Genomic DNA, 22208 nt, shown 5'->3' with positions numbered 1-22208 from the left:
AGCACCCCAGGGTTAGCAATAGTAGGAAATCACTACCACTGCTAAGCTTGAAAGAGCAGTTAGTGAAACCCAGAAACAACTAGAGCTATAGCAGAGGGCTGCCAGATGGGAGAGGTGAGCTTAGATGAAGGCAGCTGCTGCCCTGAAAAGAAGAAACAGGTAGAATAAATGCCTCAATCTTTCTTTCTCCCACCTTCTGGTATCTTGTTAGTAACTCCCATTGGCCAGACCCAACCAGGATCCCAAGGGCAAGGGAGCCCTTTGATGCAGTCCAGAGCCCAACCACCTGGGACACAAAGTAGGTTGGAAAATAGTAGAGAGAAGTTCTGGAGAGGCAAACAAAGAGAGCTTGCACAGATAGGAAGCTACTCAACCCAGACTAGGGGCAAAGAGAGAGGGTATGTCTCCCAGTGAGGATGGCTATATGGAGGAAGACTTTTCCAGGCAGAAGGGTGATGGTATGCTAAGGCACAGGCATATGAGAGACATGTATTCAGGAAGCCACAAGAAATCTAGTATAGCTGAAATTAGGGGACAGGGAGAGGAGTGGTCAGAGATGGGACCAGAGGTTTGGAGGAGAGAATAGGGCTCTTTAATCATGCAGGCCTTCTGTGTGGTGGTGAGAGTTTGAAAAGCAATGGTGGCTGAGCCCAGTGGCTCACGCCTGTAATCCCAGCACTTTGGGAGGCTGAGGCAGGTGGATCACCTGAGGTCGGGAGTTCGAGACCAGCCTGACCAACATGGAGAAACCCTGTCTCTACTAAAAATACAACATTAGCCAGGCTTGGTGGCACATGCCTGTAATTCCAGCTACTTGGGAGGCTGAGGCAGGAGAATCACTTGAACCCAGGAGGCTGAGGTTGCGGTGAGCTGAGATCGTGCTATTGCACTCCAGCCTGGGCAACAAGAGCAAAACTGCGTCTTAAAAAAAAAAAAAAAAAAAAAGCAACAGTAAAGTAGAAAGTGACAAGAGACTTACATATTAAAAAGATTACGTGACTCAACCAGCCTTGTGGAGAATGAATTAAAGACAGATAAGGATACTTACAGCAATCCAGTGAGTGATGGTTGGGGGCAGGAACCAATAGGTCATCTTGCAAACATCAAAGAGGATTTAGCTCTGAGACATATTGAAAAGTTGAAAGGGCCTGGTGACCAATTGGGTGATGAAAAGAAGTATTGGGTTAAATTTTCCATTTATGAAAAATGAAGATTTAGAGCTGCATGTTTTAATGCAGCTGAAACTGAGCACGATCACTATTTGGGTCTCGATAATTCATTGTGGTGGTGGGCTGTCCTGTACATTCTAGGATGTTTAGCACCCATTGTTTCTACCCACTGGATGTCAGTTGCACCACTGTTCCCCTATCATGGCAATCAAAAAATGTCTCTAGATATTGCCACATGTCCTCTAGGAGACAGAGGGCAAAATCATCCAAGTTGAGAACTGACAACCTGGAAGAAAATGGGTTCAGTCCTGGACACACTGAGTATGGGGTACTTGTGAGACATGTGAGAGGAGATGTCAGATTAGATTTGGGCTTAAGTATTTGGTGCCCAAAGCAATGGTCTGGGCTGGTAACTTGGACTTAGGAATTCTGAGCATATAACTGACCTGTACTACACAATGGCCTGAAATATAAGCACAATACACATTTACCACACTATAACTTCTCAAACTCTCCTCTTCGGTGAAATGCTCCCAGCTGCTTTTCCCTCTTGTTGACTTTTATGTCAAGCTACATAGAGGGGGAAAAGAGGGGCCAGGAGGTGGTAGGGGTGACCAGATATTGGATTGAGCTACTCTAAGCATCTAGTTTAAGAGATGGAGGTCTGAGATCAGTGAGTACTTGAAGCTCATCCTGGCTCATAATCCTCTTGTCTTTGTCTCTTATCAAGGCCTTTGTATTGCTCTGGCATCTTCTCTTAGCCCCTGTAGTTGGTATTTAGTTCGAAAGATCTGGAATTCTTAGAACATTGATAACATCTTATAACATGGTATAAACCTTTTTTTATTATATAACAATACTCTGTGACGAAGAGACTATATCCTTGATGCTGAGAACTTTGGAGAACGCTCACCTATTAATTCTGTCAATCATAAAAGAAAAGAACCCCTAAGAAGAGCATAGAGGTACCTGATGAGACCCCTAGTGGCAAATATCTCCTAAAAAGGGATGAGAGTCAATGTTCAAGTTCATTTCTACCAACCTGAGTGATGGCTCTCTTGCTATGATGTAGTTACAGCAGGGGGTGGAGCAAATATCTCATTAGGCAGATTCCGGGCAATAGGTGAAGAGGGGATTCTGGCATCTATGATGATGAAATATAATAGTGGCAGGCACAGACTACAAACTTTTTTGAGCACTTTCTATTTGCCAACTGCTTCTGTGCACGTTAATGAAGGAAAGCACAACTTCAGTTTATTCCACAAGATAAGGTATTTGTAAACAATCATCCCCTAATGCAACGTGTTTATTCAATGGCTAACAAGCTTTCTGAATATATTCATTGAGGAAGAATAAGCCAATTGTTCATCAGATTTGAGCATCTGTATCCTCCCTAAACTTGAATCCTCCATGATGCCTCTTGAAGTAACCCAAACAGATGTGCATCAGAAAGCAAGCTGAAGATAAACAGCTGTTTCTGTATTATACCCAGAATCAACAGTAAATTCCACTTGATGTAAGTCAGCCTGTAGAGATCTAATGAAGCTTAGCTCTTCAGTGGGGTTTCAGTTTGAATTTGGGATTGCCATTGAAAAAATGTCAGCAGCAGTGTTGTCAGTTTCTTTTTTCTTTTTTTTTTTTTTTTTTTTTGAGATGGAGTCTCTCTTACCGCCTGGGCTAGAGTGCAGTGGTGCAATCTCAACTCACTGCAACCTCCACCTTTTGGGTTCAAGCAATTCTCTTGCCTCAGCCTCCCAAGTAGCTGGGATTACAGGCACACGCCACCACACCTGGCTAATTTTTGTATTTTTAGTAGAGACGGGTTTCCGCCATGTTGGCCAGGCTGGTCTTGAACTCCTGACCTCAGGTGATCTGCCTGCCTGGGCCTCCCAAAGTGCTGGGATTACAGGCATGAGCCAAGTGTTGTCAGTTTCTATCGTGGAACCTACACATATTCAGATATGCGGCAATGGTGACAGACAACAGTAAATAAACCATGTGTACATAATAAGCATGAAAATGTGAAATTTCCTTTGACAATCAAATCTTCCCTCCAAAGAACTTAGTTTTTTTTCCCCTTAAGTTTCACTAGGTGTTTACCCTTACAAAACTCATCAATTGCAGTTGGACAGACTTTTTTTCTGTATTTTTCTTGGTCTCCTCCCCAACCCTCTTACTTAGGACAGTATTATTCTGCTAGGACTGCCATAACAAAATGCCACAGACTGGATGGCTTCAACAACAGCAGTTTATCAACCGAAGTTTATTTTCTCACACCTTTGGGGGCTGAAAGCCCAAGATCAAGGTGATTGCAGGGTTGGTTTCTCCTGAGGCCCCCTCCTCGGCTTGCAGACGGCCACCTTCTCACTGTGTCCTCACGTGGCCTCTCTGTGTGCCTTCCACCTAAGTGTCTCTTCCTCTTCTTAGGACACCAGTCCTAGGCCAGGTGCAGTGGCTCATGCCTGTAATCCCAGCACTCTGGGAGGCCGAGGCAGGTGGATCACCTGAGGTCAGGAGTTTGAGACCAGCCTGGCCAACATGGTGAAACCCCGCCTCTACTAAAAATACAAAAACTTAGCCAGGCGTTGTGGTGCACGCCTGTAATCCCAGCTACTCAGGAGGCTGAGGCATGAAAAGTGCTCGAACCTGGGAGGCGGGGGTTGCAGTGAGCTGAGATCACGCCACTGCACTCCAGCATGAGTGACAGAGCAAGGCTCCATCTCAAAAAAAAAAAAAAAAAGGGAAAAAAAGGACACCAGTCCTACAGGATTAGGGTTGCATTCTTATGACTTCATTTAACCTTAATCACTTCTTTAAAGGTCTTATTTCCAATTACAGTCACATTAGGGGTTAGAGCTCCAACATATGAATTTGACGCAATTCAGTCCACAACAGGTACCACCTGTATTCTATCTCTTTCTTCACTCTCCCCACCACCACTCTGTCTCTATTCTCAGGCAGGAGTATTATAGACGCATTTCCATTACTTGTAAACATGTACACATTTGTTAAAGGGTTAGATGCATTTAAGTTGGGCATCAAGCCGCAGGCCAGGAAAGAACTCTAGTCTCTACCACTAGGCAAAGTCATAGATCTCAGGAGAGAAAAAGAATTGGAATTCCCAGGTTACACAGATCGGAAAGCAAGCAGCAGGATAATGTGATGAGATTATAATTTTAAATCCAGAGATAGAAAAGTAAAGGAAGTTTCTTTCATTTTCCTGTCATGCATATGACCCTTTCTTTATTCAAAAGTATCAAAAAGATAGGCTGGGTACGGTGGTTCACACCTGTAATCCCAGTGCTTTAGGAGGCTGAGGTGGGAGGATTGCTTGAGGCCAGGAGTTTGAGACCAGCCTGGGCAATGTGGCAAGACCCCACCTCTACTAAAACATACAAAATAAGCCAGGTGTGGGGGGTGTGAACCTGTAGTCTCAGCTACTTGGGAGGCTGAGGTGGGAGGAGATCATTTGAGCCCAGGAGGTTGAGAATACAGTGAACTATGATCATACCACTGCACCCTAGCCTGGGTAAGAGACTGAGACCTTCATCTCCAAAAAACAAAACAAAACAAAACAAAACAACCACAAAAACAATTATATGTACATATAAGATAACTGAAGAGAAATGCCAGATTCTTGTTATGAAGTCTCCTCAAGTTTCTCATGGAGATTTATTTGGATGGGCATAGCCTACCTCCCAGAGTAAAGTTTGGGTCTCTCTCTCAGGTAGGCATTTCCGATGCCCTAGAATCCATTCCCAGTGGTCTGGCATTGGGTAAAGAGGGGGTGCCGCCTGGAGTGCTGCCAGCGGGCCACAGCATCACCCCAATGCTCCAGGCCAAAACTCTCCATCACAGGCTGGTGTCGACCAGCTGCCCAGGCTGTTGAAGCACCTGCTTCCTCCTGTTGATAGCATTCAGAACTTTCTTCCTGGGACCCAGCTGCATTTGTATGCTCTGAAGGTCCTCATCAGAGCAGAGCAGCAGAGCTTCTAGATCAATCTGCTCTCTCTTGAAGATAGGCAGGAATTCTTCCAGGTGCTGAGACAGCAAGAACACTTCCAGGGGCGTGGCATCGACCACATCTTCCTCCCACTCCACTTCATCGTCATCCCACGGCAGATCATCTTTGAGGCCGTTTTCCTCTCCCTCTTCATCAGCTGCACCCTCATCAGCCTCTGATGCTCCTTGTCTTTGAAGCAATTCACTGGGCAGTTTAAAACCAAACTCTCTCTTGCTATCTGAGATGTCTTCAGGACTCGATATCCTGTTCCTTCTAAAAACAATACTTCCTAGACCTGGACGATTGAGAATGGATTCATGGTGCACACTGCCGTCCTCCTCTGCTGACAACTGGAGCTTCTCTTTGAAGTCCCCTGAGAACGAGTCTTCCTCTTCCTCTCTGAACACTTCCATCACGTTCCTCTGCCCACTTCTGCCTTCCTTCCCCACCTGTTCTGCTGTATCTTTGTTCTTCTTGAACTTGATCTTGAAAGTGTCTTTAATGCCCTTAGATAGTGACCCGAATGTGCCAGGAGCAGAAGCATTTGAAGGGGATGATCTGGAGAAGGTACCCTTGGAAGAAGAGAGAGTCCCGGATTCCTCCTTGCTGTAGGTGTGGGCCATCTTATTTTGGTGCTTCTCCTGGAGCCTCTCACACTCTTTGATCTGCCTCCTGGCATTCTTCTGAGCCTGCTCCTTCAGCCTGGTGACCTTCTTGGGGTTCATGATGTTCTGTGCAGTGGCAGCCTTGTCCAGGAGAGCAACACATTCATTCTGCTCCCTGCTGGCAGCAGCATCCAGTGGAGTCTGTAAGTCATTATCCAGGGCAAAGATGTTGGCACCAAAGTTGACCAGGAATGAGACGCAGTGGGCATGGCCATTGGAGGCTGCAAAATGTAGAGGAGTGTTTCCCCAGATGTCACACCTATCAGGGTCCCCTCTAGAAGAGAGAGAGAGAAAAAAAATACATGTTGGACTTTTTTTCTCTGAACGCAGGCCCAAAAAAATCAAAACAAAAATAAAGAACAAAAGGCACGTTAATACAAACATGTTCATCCTGACTTGACATTGTTATAAGATACTGGCTGCAAGTCCAACTGTCTTAGAACCATCCCATCTTAAAACCACATGGCCAGAAACAGAGCCCATCTCTACCGTGTGTCTCCTTTTTGTTTGTTTCCTTTGTTTTGTTTTGAGACAGGTTCTCACTCTATCTCCCAGGCTGGAGTGGAATGGTGTGATCACAGCTCATTGGCAGCCTTGACCTCCCAGGCTCAGGTGATTCTCCCTGCTCAGCCTCCTGAGTAGCTGAGACTACAGGCATGCACCATGACACCTAGCTAATTTTTTGTAGAGACAGGGTTTCACCATGTTGCCCAGGCTGGTCGCAAACTCCTGGCCTCAAGCCATCTGCTTGCCTTGGCGTCCCAAATTGTTGGGATTACAGGTGTAAGCCACCGTGCCTGGCTGTGTCTCCTTTTTAGAAGTGAGAAAAACTTACTAAGAAATTCTCCAGCCAAACAACTTTCTTGTCTCATTGGCCAGCACTAGGTTACACGCCTAAGAGATGGGAAACATACTATTGTGTTTAACTTAGATCAATTAGATTTTGCCCTGAAACTAGGGATAGGATTGTTCAATGGCTTATCAAGAAAATAATAACATCAAAATCCTAATTTGTAGCATGTGCCAATTTCTGTGGTGTAAATACATCCACCATGGCAAATTTCAAGCTACCAATGTAACATCACTGGACAGAGTTTGGAAGAGATACACAGTAGCGTACCATTATCAACTATTTCCCCCATGTAGATATAATGGACATGAATCATCTTAAGAGACAGGTAAGAGTGAAATGTATTAAAATAAGTAGAAAGTGAGACTTTCGTGTTATCTTTTTAATATAATTTGTTAAATTATAAGTTTATATAATTTTTTTTGAGATGAAGTCTTGCTCTGTCGTCCAGGCTGGAGTGCAGTGGTGCAATCTCGGCTTGACTGCAACCTCCACCTCCCAGGTTCAAGCGATTCTCCTGCCTCAGCCTCCCGAGTAGCTGGGACTGCAGGCACCCACCACTGCACCCAGCTAATTTTTGTATTTTTAGTAGAGATGGAGTTTCACCGTGTTGGTCAGGCTGGTCTCAAACTCCTGACCTCAGGTGATCCACCCGCCTCAGCCTCCCAAAGTGCTGGGATTACAGTTGTGAGCCACCACGCCCAGCCTGTAATTTTATTTTTAAGAATGGCTATGTTCTCAGAAGCTCAGGCTTACAGTAACCTATGATTGCACCACTGTCTACAGCCTGGGCAACACAGCAAGACCCTGCCTTAAAAAAAAAAAAAAAAAAGGCTAGGCTCAGTGGCTCGTGCCTGTAATCCCAGCACTGGGAGGCTGAGGTGGGAGATTTGCTTGAGGCCAGGCATTCAAGACCAGCCTGGGAAACATAACAAGACCTGCCTCCATTAAATTTTTTTTTAAAATAAAAATAAAAAGTAAGAAAGAATGGCTATATTTAGCTGTCAAACTTTCTAAAATTTGGAAATAACTCTGACAAGCTGGTTCCAGCATGCTACTGCTACCCTCCCGAATTGAGCCACATGTGGGGAAATAAATAACTGAACCAAACTCAGTCCCCATCAGCAGGAAAGAAGAAAGAAAAGGATGTTGGAGAGGTAGCAAACAGTGTCTGTTACAAACATTATTCATTAAAAGGGCATTACATCTCTATTTATTCCTCAACTTACTTCCATGACTGCAGGTTCATATAAGTGTGTCATTCTACAAGAGTTTAAGGTGGAATTGGGGATACTATTAGATGGTATTAAGGCCATAAACCTAATGCCTGGCACAGAACAGGGACATAGTAGGTGCTCCAGTATTTGTGGAATGAATGAAAACCTACTGGAATCCTGCCCAAGGCAGCAAACCCTCCTCTCCTACAAGGACTTGAGTTACAAACAGGAACAGATAAAAAGTCGAGTAACTATTTTTAATGATGGCCAGAGCCATGCGCCAATGCTGAGAACTCTGATAATACAGATACTAAGGGGTCCTTCCTTTGCCCTAGGCTAGACTCCAAAATCAGGATCTCACTAAACTCTGGCCAGCCTGGCCCCATGGAAAGAGGACAGTGAGTCTGAGAAGTCCTCTTAACATTCCCGAGAAGTAGAGGGCAGACAGAAGCAGAAGAGAAGATCTGCACCCTTGCAAATGACCTGTTAGTGCGCCACGACCATTCTACTAGTTCCTGGCTGCTCAACGTTGGGTCTCCAGACCAGAAGCAGATGCATCACCTGTGAGTTTGTTAGAAGTTCAGAAGACTCTCATGCCTGTAATCCCAGCACTTTGGGAGGTCGAGGTGGGTGGATCACAAGGTCAGGAGTTCAAGATCAGCCTGGTCAACATTGTGAAACCCTGTCTCTACTAAAAATACAAAAATTAGCCGGGCGTGGTGGCACATGTCTGTAATCCCAGTTTCTCAGGAGGCTGAGGCAGAGAATTGCTTAAACCCCGGAGGCGGAGGTTGCAGTGAGCCGAGATCACACCACTGCACTCCAGCCTGGGTGACAGAGTGAGACTCTCTCCAAAAAAAAAAAAAAGCAAACCAAAAAAAGTACAGAAGACTCTCACCCAGACCTATTGAATCAGAATCTACACTTTAGCAAGATCCGCAGGTGATTCGTAGGCTCACTACAGATTGAAAAGAACTTCACTGGTTAGTGTGATCCGACCAGGGTCCTATAATTTGATAAATCAGATTTGCAGTTACTCCACGGGAATCCCTGGCTCTTTGGTGTGTGTTAGTTACAAAGAAGCACTTTCACATTCTTTGCCTTCAACCATCACAATCTCCCTCTTAGAGAAGGCAGGCAAGAATCATTACTGCAGGAATAAAATAAGACTCAGAGAGCTTAATTGATTTGCCCAAGGGTAACAGGCAGCATGATTTGGATCAGGCTGGTCTCCCAGTCAAATCATCTCCAATACAATACATCCTAGATTAACACAACTGGGCTTTTCCATTTTACCAGCTACATGGCCTCAAGTTTAATTTTTCTAGGACTTGGTTTCTTCATGTAAAAAGTAAAATAAAGTTTCCTCTTCAAAAACTTTCCTCCCCATCTAATTAAAAATAAATAATAACTTCTCTTAAAAACAAAATTTATTCAAAAACCTGTACTAACATTCTTAAATATCTACTAGCCATAATAAAAAAATCAATATACTTTATACTCTTAACTCCCACAATTTAGCTTAAATATTTACCCTAACATACTTATAGTAGTCCAAACAAACATTAAGTCATAGCCTGTTCCTCTTCCTTATTTAAAAGTGTTTTTACCTTTCTCAACATTCCACAAATTACTTTCTCCTTCCTTTGTTCTCCTCTGCCTTTGCCTCTTTTAAAAAGTTCTAAGTTACTAACCAATCAAGACAAATACAAAATGTAAAGTCCCATTCCAGCCAATAAAAACCAAACACAACATTAAACACATCAAGTTATAAATAACCCTGTCTCCTTTGTTCAATATACTCTCATAACAAAACTACTAACAAATATACCCTTTCTACGAAAAATAAAAATAGCCTTACTAAAAAAATTAAATTTATGTTCAAATACTATTTCTTTGCAACACCAAAAGACAAACATTTCTAACACTCATCTGTAAATTGAAGATAATACTATTACCTATTCATAGAGTTATGTGAATTAAATAAATTAATCTACATAAAGCATTGGAAAACTGCTTGGCACATAGTAAATATTGAATAAACATTACTTATTATCCTTGCCCTTGCCCCCAAACTCATAATCCTTAATTTCATGTATTTATTTTTCCTTGTATTCAACTAGTAAATTCCTACAGCACAATAATGCTTGTGGGTTTTTAAAAATCACTTATAGGCCAGGTGAGGTGGCTCATGCCTATAATCCCAGCACTTTGGGAGGCCGAGGCTGGTGGATCACTGGAGGCCAGGAGTTTGAGACCAGCCTATTCAACATGGTGAAACCCCATCTCTACTAAAAGTACAAAAATTAGCCAGGCATGGTGGTGCGCGCCTGTAGTCCCAGCTACTCAGGAGACTGAGGCAGGAGAACCTGGGAGGTGGAGATTGCAGTGAGCCGAGATTGCGCCGCCGCACTCCAGCCTGGGTGACAAAGTGAGACTCTGTCTCAAAAAAATAAAAAAAAAATCAATCAATCAATCACTTCCAGTTTTAATCTGACAAATATTTATGCCTTGTCTCCTTAATTGGATAATATGCCCCAGAGGGCAAAGCCTGTGTCTCTTTCTCCTTTGTGTCAGCCACATGTCCCGGCAGAAGTCTCCAACCCAACTCAAAGAAGTCCAGCAAGTCATGTAAGTGACTGAATGGGGCCAAGTTTGCTCTTTCAACAAAGTCACAGTTAAATGCATACTCCACCTAGAAAGGACCACAGCTCAGCTACCTTGAATCAAAGCGGAAACAATATTGCCAGAGCTCCCATTTTTCAAACGAAGCCACAAATCCAGAATTTCAAGCGAAATTCTGTGATTTTTAAGTGTTGGCTCAAATTTAAAAGAAAAATATAGTAAAGTCCAAATAAAACACATTTGTGGACCAGCTCCAGCCCATAAGCTGGCAACTGGTAACCTCCTTCTGAGCAGAGAGAACAGTGTGAGCAGAGGCACAGATGGCTGATATTACAAGGCCTATTTGGGGAACCAGGAGTATAGATCAGCGTGACCAGAGTGTGTGGAGTTGGGGGTAAGGGGAAAGAGTGGAAAAGGAAAGAAAATGAAATCAAATCTAAGGAAAGCAAATATTAAGTAACACAGTTTTGCTGGGAAGCCACTTTCCAGAAGGCTCTGGTCAGTCAGCCTGACTTAATTGTTTGGGATGAAAGGAGACCCTTCAACCTTGGCACAGACCCGCATCTTAAGGGACCGCTGTGTCTCCCCCCTAAACATGTGGTTTCACTTTTTATTTTAAATAAACACTAGATGCAAAAGACTCCTTAAGTATCCTAGACATCAAAGAGGGATTGTAAAACACCCAAGACGTTACTATCAACAGAAAGAGAAACATACTGATTAAATTTGCCTGAAGTTATCCTTGGATTGGATAAGTTGAAAACAAAATTATTGGGAGGAGTGAGCTGCAGGGGGGATGCAGAAGGGCACTAAGGTGTCCGGGTTAAATGTATATGCTTAAGACTATAGACTGGTGGAATTTTCTCATTTCACTGAATTTTTATTTTGCTTTAAGTTCTGGGATACATGTGCAGAACATACAGGTCTGTTACCTAGGTATACATGTGCCATGGTGGTTTGCTGCACCTGTCAACCTGTCATCTAGGTTTTAAGCCCTTCATGCAGTAGGTATTTGTCCTAATGCTCTCCCTCCTCTTGCCCCCGACCCCCCAACAGGCCCCGGTGTGTGATGTTCCCCTCCCTGTGTCCATGTCTTCTCATTGTTCAACTCCCATTTATGAGTGAGAACATGCAGTGTTTGGTTTTCTGTTCCTGTGTTAGTTTGCTGAGAATGATGGCTTCCAGCTTCATCCATGTCCCTGCAAAGGACATGATCTCATTTTTTTTTTTTTTTTTTTTTACAGCTGCACCCATTTCACTGAATCTTAAATGATGCTTTCAAGACAGAAGGAAGAACAGTACACCTGAGATGACCCCAAAGGTGGGCCTTCTTTTGAGAAAATTTCAAATGCAAAATTCCAGATTTACAGATGAAACTGTCAGTAAGACAATTCATGGGTTTTCCTAGTGGCTTTAAGCTATTAAAACTTGCAAAACTTTGGCTGGGCACAGTGGCTTATGTCTGTAATCCCAGCACTTTGGGAGGCCAAGGTGGGTGGATCACGAGGTCAGAAGATCAAGACCATCCTGGCTAACATGGTGAAACCCCGTCTCTACTAAAAATACAAAAAAAATTAGCCAGGCATGGTGGTGTGTACCTGTAGTCCCAGCTACTCGGGAGGCTGAGGCAGGAGAATGGCGTGAACCCAGGAGGCGGAGCTTGCAGTGAGCTGAGATCACACCACTGCACTCCAGCCCAGGCAACAGAGCAAGACTCCGTCTCAAAAACAAAACAAAACAAAACAAAAAACTTGCAAAACTTCTACTTACAGACACATTTCCAAATTGATGTACAATTTAAATGGAAATATTTTCTACAGACAAGTTGCATGGAGTCCTTTTAAATTCCATACTTGTCATTGTTCACATTTCTTGATAGAACCATTGCATACAACTGCCTGGGTGGAAAACTAGTCCTGTCGTTTGATAATCTGAGTTCAACATTGATGCTCTACGGTTTTCGTGGGCTAAGCTCAGTCTAGTGTTGTTTTTTTCTATTTCCCTTTTCCCCAAAAGAGAAACTCACTGAAGAGATTTTAAAATAACCCATTTTTCCCTTGATTTTTGGTAGATCAGTGCATTTGGGCAATAGTTTTTAAAGCTGGCTTAGCACTACTGTCACTAAGTAGGCAATTTGCTTAAATTACCCTGAGCATCTGTTACATTCCAATTTTTCCTCCTGAAGTTGATTTTTTGTGAAGTTCTCAACTATTCTTTCAAAAACGTTTTTCTGCATAAAAAGAAATATTTGGACTCACTAATAGTCAAAGAAATGCAAATTGAAACAATACTCTGCCTTTTGCCAATCAGATAGGCAACGATTAAAAAGAATAGTAATACTTGGTTTTGGCAGGAGTATGGGGAAAGAAATACTGCTGGAAGAAGCAGAAAGTGGTTCAAATTTCCTGGCACAATACACACAAAAAGCCTTTAAAATGAGGCACTCTTTTGAATCTACAATTCTACATTTAGGAATTTGTCCTAAGGAAATATAAGATCTTTGTGCAAAGATGAATGAGCAGGAATGTTCCTCCCAAACTTACTTATAACAGGAAAAAGAGTGGGTTCAAATTAAGCAACATGAATAGTCAACTGATTACATATATTATGGCATTAATCTGTGTCCATCAGTGGAAGAATGGATAAAGAAAACATGGTGGCTCCACACAATGGAATACTATCCAGTCTTAAGAAACAAACGGATCCTGTCATTTTCGACAACATGGATGAGCCTGGAGGACAGTATGTTAAGTGAAATAAGACAGGCACAGAAAGACGAATACCACATGATCTCACTTAAATGTGGAATCTAAAAAAGTCTCCTAGAGGCTGGGCGCAGTGGCTCATGCCTGTAATCCCAGCACTTCGGGAGGCTGAGGTGGGCAGATCACGAGGTCAAGAGATTGAAACCATCCTGGCCACCATGGTGAAACCCCATCTCTACTGAAAATACAAAAATTAGCTGGGTGTGGTGGCACGTGCCTGTAGTCCCAGCTACTTGGGAGGGCTGAGGCAGGAGAATTGCTTGAATCCGGGAGGCGGAGGTTGCAGTGAGCCAAGATCGTGCCACTTCACTCCAGCCTGGTGACAGAGTGAGACTCCGTCTAAAAGAAAAGTCTCCTAGAAGCAGAAAGTAGAATGGTGGTAACTAGGCAGAGGCAGACTGGGGAGTTGGTCAAAGGATACAAAATTTCAGTGAGACAGGAGGAATAAGTACAAGACATCTATTGTAACACATGATGACTATAGTTTTTTTAAAAATTAGTTATTTATTTTTTATAGAGATGGGGTCTTGCTATGTTGCCCAGGCTAGTCTCGAACTCCTGGCCTCAAGCAATCCTCCTGCCTCAACCTCCCAAAGAGCTGGGATTACAGGCATGAGCCATCATGCTCAGCTCAATGGCTATAGTTAATAACAATACACTGTATATTTGAAAATTGCCTACCAAGTAGATTTTAATGTTCTCATCACAAAAAGTATAGAAGATAACACATAGTCAATTAGCTTGACTTAATTCCACAATGTATACATATTTTTAAAAATCACGTTGTACACCATAAATATATATAATTTTTGTTAATTAATAAAAATAATGAAACTGGCCAGGCACAGTAGCTCACGCCTATAATCCTAGCACTTTGGGAGGCCAAGGTGGGTTGATCACTTGAGGCCAGGAGTTTGAGACCAGCCCGGCCAACATGGTGAAACCTCATCTCTACTAAAACTACAAAAATTAAGTGGGGGTGGTAGCATGTGCCTGTAACCCCAGCTACTCTGGAGACAGGCAGGAGAATTGCTTGAACCTGGGAGGCTGAGGGTGCAGTGAACTGAGATCGCACCACTGCACTCCAGCCTGGATGACAGAGCGAGAGTCCATCTCAAAAACAAACAAACAAACACCATAAAACAGAATACCATGAAGTCATTAAAGATAGTGGCATGCATTATCCCATCCCTAGCAAATTAACACAGGAATGGAAAACCCACTACCGCATATTCTTACTTATGAGTGAGAGCTAAACATTGGGTACTCACAGACGTAAAGATAGCAACAACAGACACGGGGGACTATGAGAGGAGGGCAACGGTTGAAAAACTATTTGGTACCATGCTCACTACCTGGGTGATGGGATCAGTCATACCCCAAACACCAGCACCATGCAGTGTACCCATGCAGCAAACCTGCACACGTACCCTCTAAATCTAAAAGTTGAAACTGGCGTGGTGCAGTGACTCACACCTGTAATCCCAACAATTTGGGAGGCCAAGGCAGGTGGATCGCCTGAAGTCAGGAGTTCGAGACCGGCCTGGCCAACATATAGTGAAACCCTGTCTCTACTAAAAAATACCAAAATTAGCTGGGCATGGTGGCGCATACCTGTAGTTCCAGCTGCTTGGGAAGCTGAGGCAGGAGAATCACTCAAACCTGGGAGGTGGAGGATGCAGTGAGCCAAGATTGTGCCACTGCACTCCAGCCTAGGTGACAGAACAAGACTCTGTCTCTCACAAAAAAAAAAAAGTTGAAATTATTAAAAAAAAAATAAAATAGTGGCGTGGATCTCAACTTTTAAGTGCAAATGGTCCATGATATATTGTTAAATAATTAGAAGGTTTCAGTATAGTTTATATGATTGTCTTTTAAAGGGAGAGAATGTACATGTGTTTGCATGTACTCAAAGGAAAAAGTCTGGAAGGATATGTACCCAAATGTTGATAACTGTAGGAATTGGTATAATTTTTACTTTATCAATTCTATTCAATATGATGTGAAATATTACAATAAGTATGTATTTCTTTAAGAATCAGACCAGCCTGGCCAACATGGTGAAACCTTGTCTCTACTAAAAATACAAAAATTAGCGGGGTGTGGTGGCAGGCACCTGTAGTCTCAGCTATTCCAGAGGCTGAGGCAGGAGAATCACTCGAACCTAGGTGGCGGAGGTTGCAGTGAGCCAAGATCCCATCATTGCACTCCAGGATGGGCGACAGAAGCGAGACTCCATCACAAAAAAAAAAGAATCTGGGGGAAAAAGTCTAGTTTCCATTTTAAAAAATAAAACCAAGAAATTTCATACACTTTAAAGGTAAAATGAATTTTTTTTTGTAATTGGGCCATTATGCTTCCTAGTGCAGGAAAATACATGTAATGATTGTTTTCCATCTTCAAATTTTAAAAACAAAGGAAAATAGTTTTCTAACAAAGCCAGAGTTTTAATATAAATGGTTGCTATAGGATTCGTTGTCTATCAGGTAATGACAGATAAACTCTTAAATCATCAGACTGAAATGGACTTCAGTATTTCAATAGTTGATTAGCTTCTAAATTCAATTTTCAATTTTTTTTAATTTTAGGTTCAGGAGTACATGTGCAGGTTTGTTATATAGGTAAACTCATATCACGAGTGTTTGTTGTAGATAATTTTGTCACCCAGGCACTAAGCCAACATGTTCTCATCATTTAGCTCCCACTTATCAGTAAGAATATGTGGTGTTTGGTTTTCTGTTCCTGCGTTAGCTCGCTAAGAATAATGGCCTCCATCTCCACCCATGTTCCCACAAAATATGTGATCTCATTCTTTTTCGACTGCATACTATTCCATGCTGTATATGTACCACATTTCCTTTATCCAATCTGTCATTGATGGACATTTAGGCTGATTCCATGTCTTTGCTATTGTGACAGTGCTGCAATGAACACTCACATGCATGTGTTTGTTTGTTTGTTTGTTTTTTGAGATGGAGTCTTGCTGTTCCCCAGGCTGGAGTGCAGTGGCGTGATCTTGGCTCACTGCAACCTTCTCCTTGCGGGTTCAAGCAATTTTTGTGTCTCAGCCTCCTGAGGAGCTGGAATTACAGGTGTGTGCCACCACGCCCAGTTAATTTTTTGTGTTTTTCTTTTAGTAGAGATGAGGTTTCACCATGTTGATCAGGCTGGTCTTGAACTCCTGACCTCAAATGACCCACCCGCCTCGGCCTCCCAAAGTGCTAGGATTACAGGCATGATCCAGGCATGTATCTTTATTGTGGAAGGATTCATATTCCTTTGGGTATATACCCAGTAATGAGATTGCTGGCTCGAATGGTAGTTCTGCTTTTAGCTCTTGGAGCAATTGTCACACTGCTTTCCACAATGGTTGAACTAATTTACACTCCCACCAACAGTGTATAAGTGTTCGCTTTTCTCCTCAACCTCACCAGCATCTGTTATTTTTTGATGTTATAATAGCCATTCTGACTGATGTGAGATGGTAATTTTCTTCCCTTTTCAGCTTCCTTAAATCTAATTGGAAATTTGACCTCACACTGGTTCCCAGGATTAGCTATGGTCAAAAAGGCACCTCACAAGACTTCTGTTCTTTTTTTTAGCCTACATCAGGCCTGCTCAACACAGCAGATCCCAGATGCTTTTGAGGGCAATGAAACAAATCTGAGATGTACTAGATCCCGTGAGAAGAAAGGAGTTGAGAAGGAAGGACTAGGAAAAACAAGGTTAGAAGAATATTTGCACCCATAGCCAGTGTTTAATAAATATTAATATAAGCAAATTGGGGGGACTGGATATTTATATTACATTGAAAGAAATGATGTTACCATGTCAACTTAGTGGAGAAAGAGATAGACTATAACAACTAATTGTGTTGGAATAAATGAGTAGCCACTTGGAGAATGCAGAGTTAGATCATAATTCAGATCTTAAATTATATAAAGTATTTAAAATAACAAATGAAACTAAAAATAGCACTAAAGGATCAGTCAGTATTGAGGCATGACCTCAAAGTTAGAATCACACAACAAAGATTGATAGACTTATACGTATATATATATATATATTTATGTTTACATTTATATTTAAAAATCTGTTGTCAAAAATATAAATTGTGTATTGTAAAACAGTTGTAACCTATATGACAAAGAGTTGATATTGTTAACTTTCAAAAGTGTTTTTATCAATCAAGGAGAAATGGTTGAAAACCCCAATATAAATGGGGAATAAAGTTATAAATACACAGTTCACAAAAGTGGCAATCCAATGGCCAATTCTTTTTAAGCATAAAAAGAATTTTCAACCTCATCGGCAACCAAAGAAAAGAACATTAAAGCCACACTGGTGTATCATTTTGTTTTGTTTTGTTTTGTTTTTTGAGACAGAGTCTCACTCTGTTGCCCAGGCTGGAGTGCAGTTGCCTGATCTCGGCTCACTGCAACCTCCACCACCCGGATTCAAGGGATTCAGGAGCAATTTGTGCCTCAGCCTCCTGAGTAGCTGGGATTATAGGCGTGCACCACCACACCATGCTAATTTTGTATTTTTAGTAGAGATGGGGTTTCACCATGTTGGCCAGGCTGGCCTCGAACTCCTGGCCTCAAGTGATCTGCCCGCCTTGGCTTCCCAAAGTGCTGGGATTACAGGAGTGAGCCACCACGCCCAGCCTAATATATCATTTTGGACCTATCATGTTGGCCAAAATGGGTACTCACTTTCTGAAGGACAGCATGTCCATTTACACACACACAAAACTATTTAAATTGCACATATGCTGCTATGGTTTGAATGTGTCTCCTCCAGAATTCATGTTGAAACTTAATCGTCAATGTAACAGCGTTAAGCAGTGTGGCCTTTAGGAGACGATTGAGTCATGAAGACTCTACCCTCATGAATGGGGTTAGCACCCTTATAAAAGGACTTGACACAGGGAATTTGCCTTTTTTTTTTTTTTGCCCCTTCCTTCCCTTCCTCCATGTGAGGACACAGCCATAGGATGCAACAACAAGGCACCATCTTGGAAGCGGAGACAGGGCTGTCATCAGACACCAGTCCTGCTGGTGCCTTGATCTTGGATGTCTCTGCTGCCAGAGCTGTAAGAAATAAATTTCTGGTTTTTATAAATTACCTAATCTAAGGTATTTTGTTATAGCAGTACAAATGGACTAACACAAATGCAAATTGATCCAGAAATTTCACTTTGGAGAATTTATTCTCAAGAAAATGTGGCCAGGCCCGGTGGCTCACACCTGTAATCCCAACACTTTGGGAGGCCGAGGTGGGCAAATCACCTGAGGTCAGGAGTTCGAGACCAGCCTGGCCAACATGGTGAAACCCTGTCCCTACTAAAAATACAAAAATTAGCCCGGCGTGGTAGTGCACGCCTGTAGACCCAGCTACTTAGGAGGCTGAGGCAGGAAAATTGCTCAAACCCGAGAGGTGGAGGTTGCAGTGAGCCAAGATCACGCTACTGCACTCCAGCCTGAGTGACAGAGAGACTCCATCTCAAAAAAACACAAAAGACAATGTCAGCAAAGATTTATGTACAAGGATAGTCATCATAGCCCTATTCAAACTAGGGAAAACAAACTATGTGTCCAAAAGAGGGGTTGGCTAAGAAATGTATTTGTTGACTAGAGTCCTACAAAGTCCCTGAAATTTATAGAAGAATATTAAAATGTATTTGTATGCACTATAGTATATATAGAGAGAACTATATACATCTTAGTAGCATGGCATTATAGGACATTTTTTCTTCATGTTTTGTGTGCGTCTGTATGGTTTAATTTTCTGGGTTCAGCTCATGTTACTTTTGTAATTAAAGACTAGCAGAACCAGGCTGAGTGCTGTGGCTCACACCTGTAATCTCAACACTTTGGGAGGCTGAGGCAGGAGGATTATTTGAGCTCAGGAGTTCGAGACCAGCCTGGGCAACAAAGCGAGGCCCTGTCTCTAGTAAAAATAAAAAATAAATAAAGACCAGCAGAAGAGTTATTGTAAGAGAATATTTCAGGCTTTCAAAGGAGAGAAAGAGAGAGAACACCTAAGCATTACTATTCAAAATGTCCTCAAATGGAACAAGAGCTCTCTGCTGAGAAGAACCCCAGAACCCCCAAACCCTCTTCTAGGAGGACAAACTCACTGGTTGATACAGTTTGGATCTGTGAGATTTGGTGGGGAACAAACCTCAAATCAAATTGTAATCCGCAATGTTGGAGGTAGGGACTGGTGGGAGGTGACTGGATCGTGGGGGCGAATTTCTCATGAATGGTTTAGCACCATTCCCCTTGGTACTGTCCTCATGATAGTGAGCTCTCATTAGATCTGGTTTCTAGCACCTCCCCCCTTGCTCTCTTGCTCTTGCTTCTGCCATGTGAGATGCCTTTTCCTTCTGCCATGATTGGAAGCTTCCTGAAGGCTCCCCAAAAGCAGAAGCTACTATACTTCCTGTACAGCCCGTAGAACTATGAGCCAGTGAAACCTCTTTTCTTTATAAATTACCTAGGCCCAGGCATTTCCTTATAGCAATGCAAGAATAGGCTAATACTTTGATTTTAAAGTAACTGACATCTTGCAGTTTGTGGAATGAGGTAGACTTTCAGTAGATGGAGAAAGCTGGGGAACCCTAGGCTGAGTAGGAGAAGAGATGAGATGACTGGAGAAGGCTGGCTGATGGGGATCGATGTGTCTGAGAAAAGAAAGTCTTATTCAGACAAGAGAGATGGGGAAGATCTGCTTCACTCACTTTCTCATTCAATCTTCAACTCAGGAACTCTCCCAATCCTGGGTTCTTCTGACACTTCCTAAATGTCCCCTATTTTAATAAAGGGTGTCAACATCCAAAACCTGGGACCTTAACCCTCCTTTTCCTTTATCTGCCCACATCCAGTCAATCATTATTGATTCTACATCCAAACTGCCACTCAAATCCAACCATATCTTCCCATTCCCAATGTCACTACCCTAGTCCAACTCATCTCGACCACTAAAACAGTCCCCAAACATTCTCTCCGACTGTTATCCATCTACCTGAGTGAGTTTTGTAAACATAAATCTACTCTGGCAGCTTCCCTACCCAAGACATGGCTTCCTGGGCCCTTAGGATAAAGTCCTTACCAGAGTTGACAAGGCTCTTTGTGATCTGGTCTTATCTCTTATACTTGTCCTGACCCCACTCCTACTTGAACCACATCCAGCCATACTCAGCTTCTCTAGTTCTCAGAACTAGAGCAGTTTTCCATCTTAGGGAAAACACTCTTTCGTCTAGCCAACTTGTTCTCATTTTCCTAATCCCAGCTTAAATGCTTTCCCCTTAGGGAAGCCTTCCCTCACCCCTGAGATTGAGGTAGATGCCTATTTAGTGCCCTCTATTTCCCTTTTTGTAACAAATATCATAGATGAGCCAGGCACAGTGGCTCACAGCTGTAATCCCAGCACTTTGGGAGACCGAGGCTGTCAGATCGCTTGAGCTCATAAGTTGAAGACCATCCTGGGCAACATGGCAAAACCCCATCACTACAAAAAGTACAAAAATTGCTGGGCATGGTGGTGCACACCTCTTGTCCCAGCTACTCGGGAGGCTCAGATGGGAGGACCACTTGAGCCTGGGGCTCAAGGCTGCAGTCAGCTATGATCTTGACACTGCACTCCAGCCTGAGTGACAGAGTGAGACCCTGTCTCAGAGCAAACATGCACACACACACACACACAAATATCATAGATGTCTTGTCTTCCCCTCTCAAATCTGCTCACTATGACAGGGACTGTGGCTGTCTTGTTGATCACAGTGTGCCCAGTGGCTAGCAAAATATCTCTTATCTTAAGAGATAAGTGGCTGGCACATAACAAATACTGAATAAATGGGTATTCAATTGGATTCACTTGGCTCCTTTATTTACCTTGTCCTTTTCTCTTTCTTTACCCCTCTTGGGTTACGGTTGCCAACACAACCTAGCCCTCTGATAACAGGCAGAACAAGCAGAGGAACTAGCTTACTCCTCCATTAAAATCTGGGCAAAGAGATGGGGTGTGTGTGTGTGTGTGTGTGTGTGTGTGTGTGTGTGTATCTATCCACTAGCCAAAGAAGTGATAGAGTTAAGATAGGCTAAAGAGTCCTTGTAGAGCCAGCAACTCCATTCAAAAGAGCAAGACCCTGTGTCAAAAATAAAAAATAAAAAAATCATGAGCTTGCACTGGGATTGAAAGTTAATAAAAGACTGTGAGATTTTGATGGCATAGATAAAAAAAAAACTAAAACCATGTCATTTGTTCCAACCAAGGTTGGCAACTTAAAACCAAGTAAAACAATGGCCTCTTTGAAAAGAGAAAACTATTTAAATTTCATGAAAAGCATTTTTAAAGGCATAGAATTAAAATATCTTCCCTCTTCCCCATGCAGATAATGCCGTAGTTCAGGGTCTCTCCTCTGATTGTGGCTAAGGGATGAGCCACTCCTATAGTGCCAGTCCTCAGTGAGAAAAGAGAGCATCTCTAGGCATAGTTTTCTCTCTTTCTCTAAAAATCCAATCATTTAGACAATCTAGAAAGAGGATAAAGTATTTGTATTGACGTCCCTGCCTCTTGCTGCTGTCTGCAAAAACCTACCATGAACACTGTTTCCAACAGAAACCATCGGGTTGAACTTACCCTCTACTGCAGATTATCTCTAGGGCTTCCAAGTTCCCATGGTAGGCTGCCAAGAGAGTAGGAGTCATGCCGTCTTCATCCGAAAGATTTAGATCTCGCTTGGTAGCCTCTTTTAGAAGTTCCAGGTAACTATCACTAGCAGCTTGGTGGTAACGAGTAGACATTTTTCCTGCTCACCAGAACTTGGCCAGATGTCTCTCCAGGCAGAGCAAGGTGTTGGCGGAGCAACCTTCCTATAGAGCTGGTTAATTAGTGACAAGGAAGAGTG

At 42.7% G+C, this 22208-nt stretch overlaps 1 protein-coding gene across 1 annotated transcript; it reads right to left on the bottom strand.

Moving 5' to 3' along the window:
• Nucleotides 1–1991: 1991 nt before the first annotated feature.
• Nucleotides 1992–22143, bottom strand: ANKS4B (ankyrin repeat and sterile alpha motif domain containing 4B). Its single transcript, NM_145865.3, has 2 exons — nt 21941–22143; nt 1992–6111 (listed from the first exon to the last, which is right to left on the bottom strand). Exons 1-2 carry the CDS (start codon nt 22102–22104, stop codon nt 5022–5024), a joined length of 1254 nt encoding a protein of 417 aa, NP_665872.2. The 5' UTR covers nt 22105–22143; the 3' UTR covers nt 1992–5021.
• Nucleotides 22144–22208: the final 65 nt, after the last annotated feature.

The sequence above is a fragment of the Homo sapiens genome, chromosome 16 (assembly GCF_000001405.40).
Source record: "Homo sapiens chromosome 16, GRCh38.p14 Primary Assembly".
Taxonomy (NCBI): Eukaryota; Metazoa; Chordata; class Mammalia; order Primates; family Hominidae; genus Homo; species Homo sapiens.
The sequence above is the reverse complement of the archived record's forward strand: the minus strand, read 5'-3'. Positions and strand labels throughout refer to the sequence as shown.

What these genes read in the sequence shown, in the direction of transcription:
- ANKS4B (NM_145865.3), bottom strand. Translation starts at nt 22,104, where the DNA reads ATGTCTACTCGTTACCACCAAGCTGCTAGTGATAGTTACCTGGAACTT. An exon ending in GAGATAATCTGCAGTAGAGG is followed by an intron (nt 6,112 to 21,940) that starts GTAAGTTCAACC and finishes TCTCTCTTCTAG; the next exon opens with AGGGGACCCTGATAGGTGTG.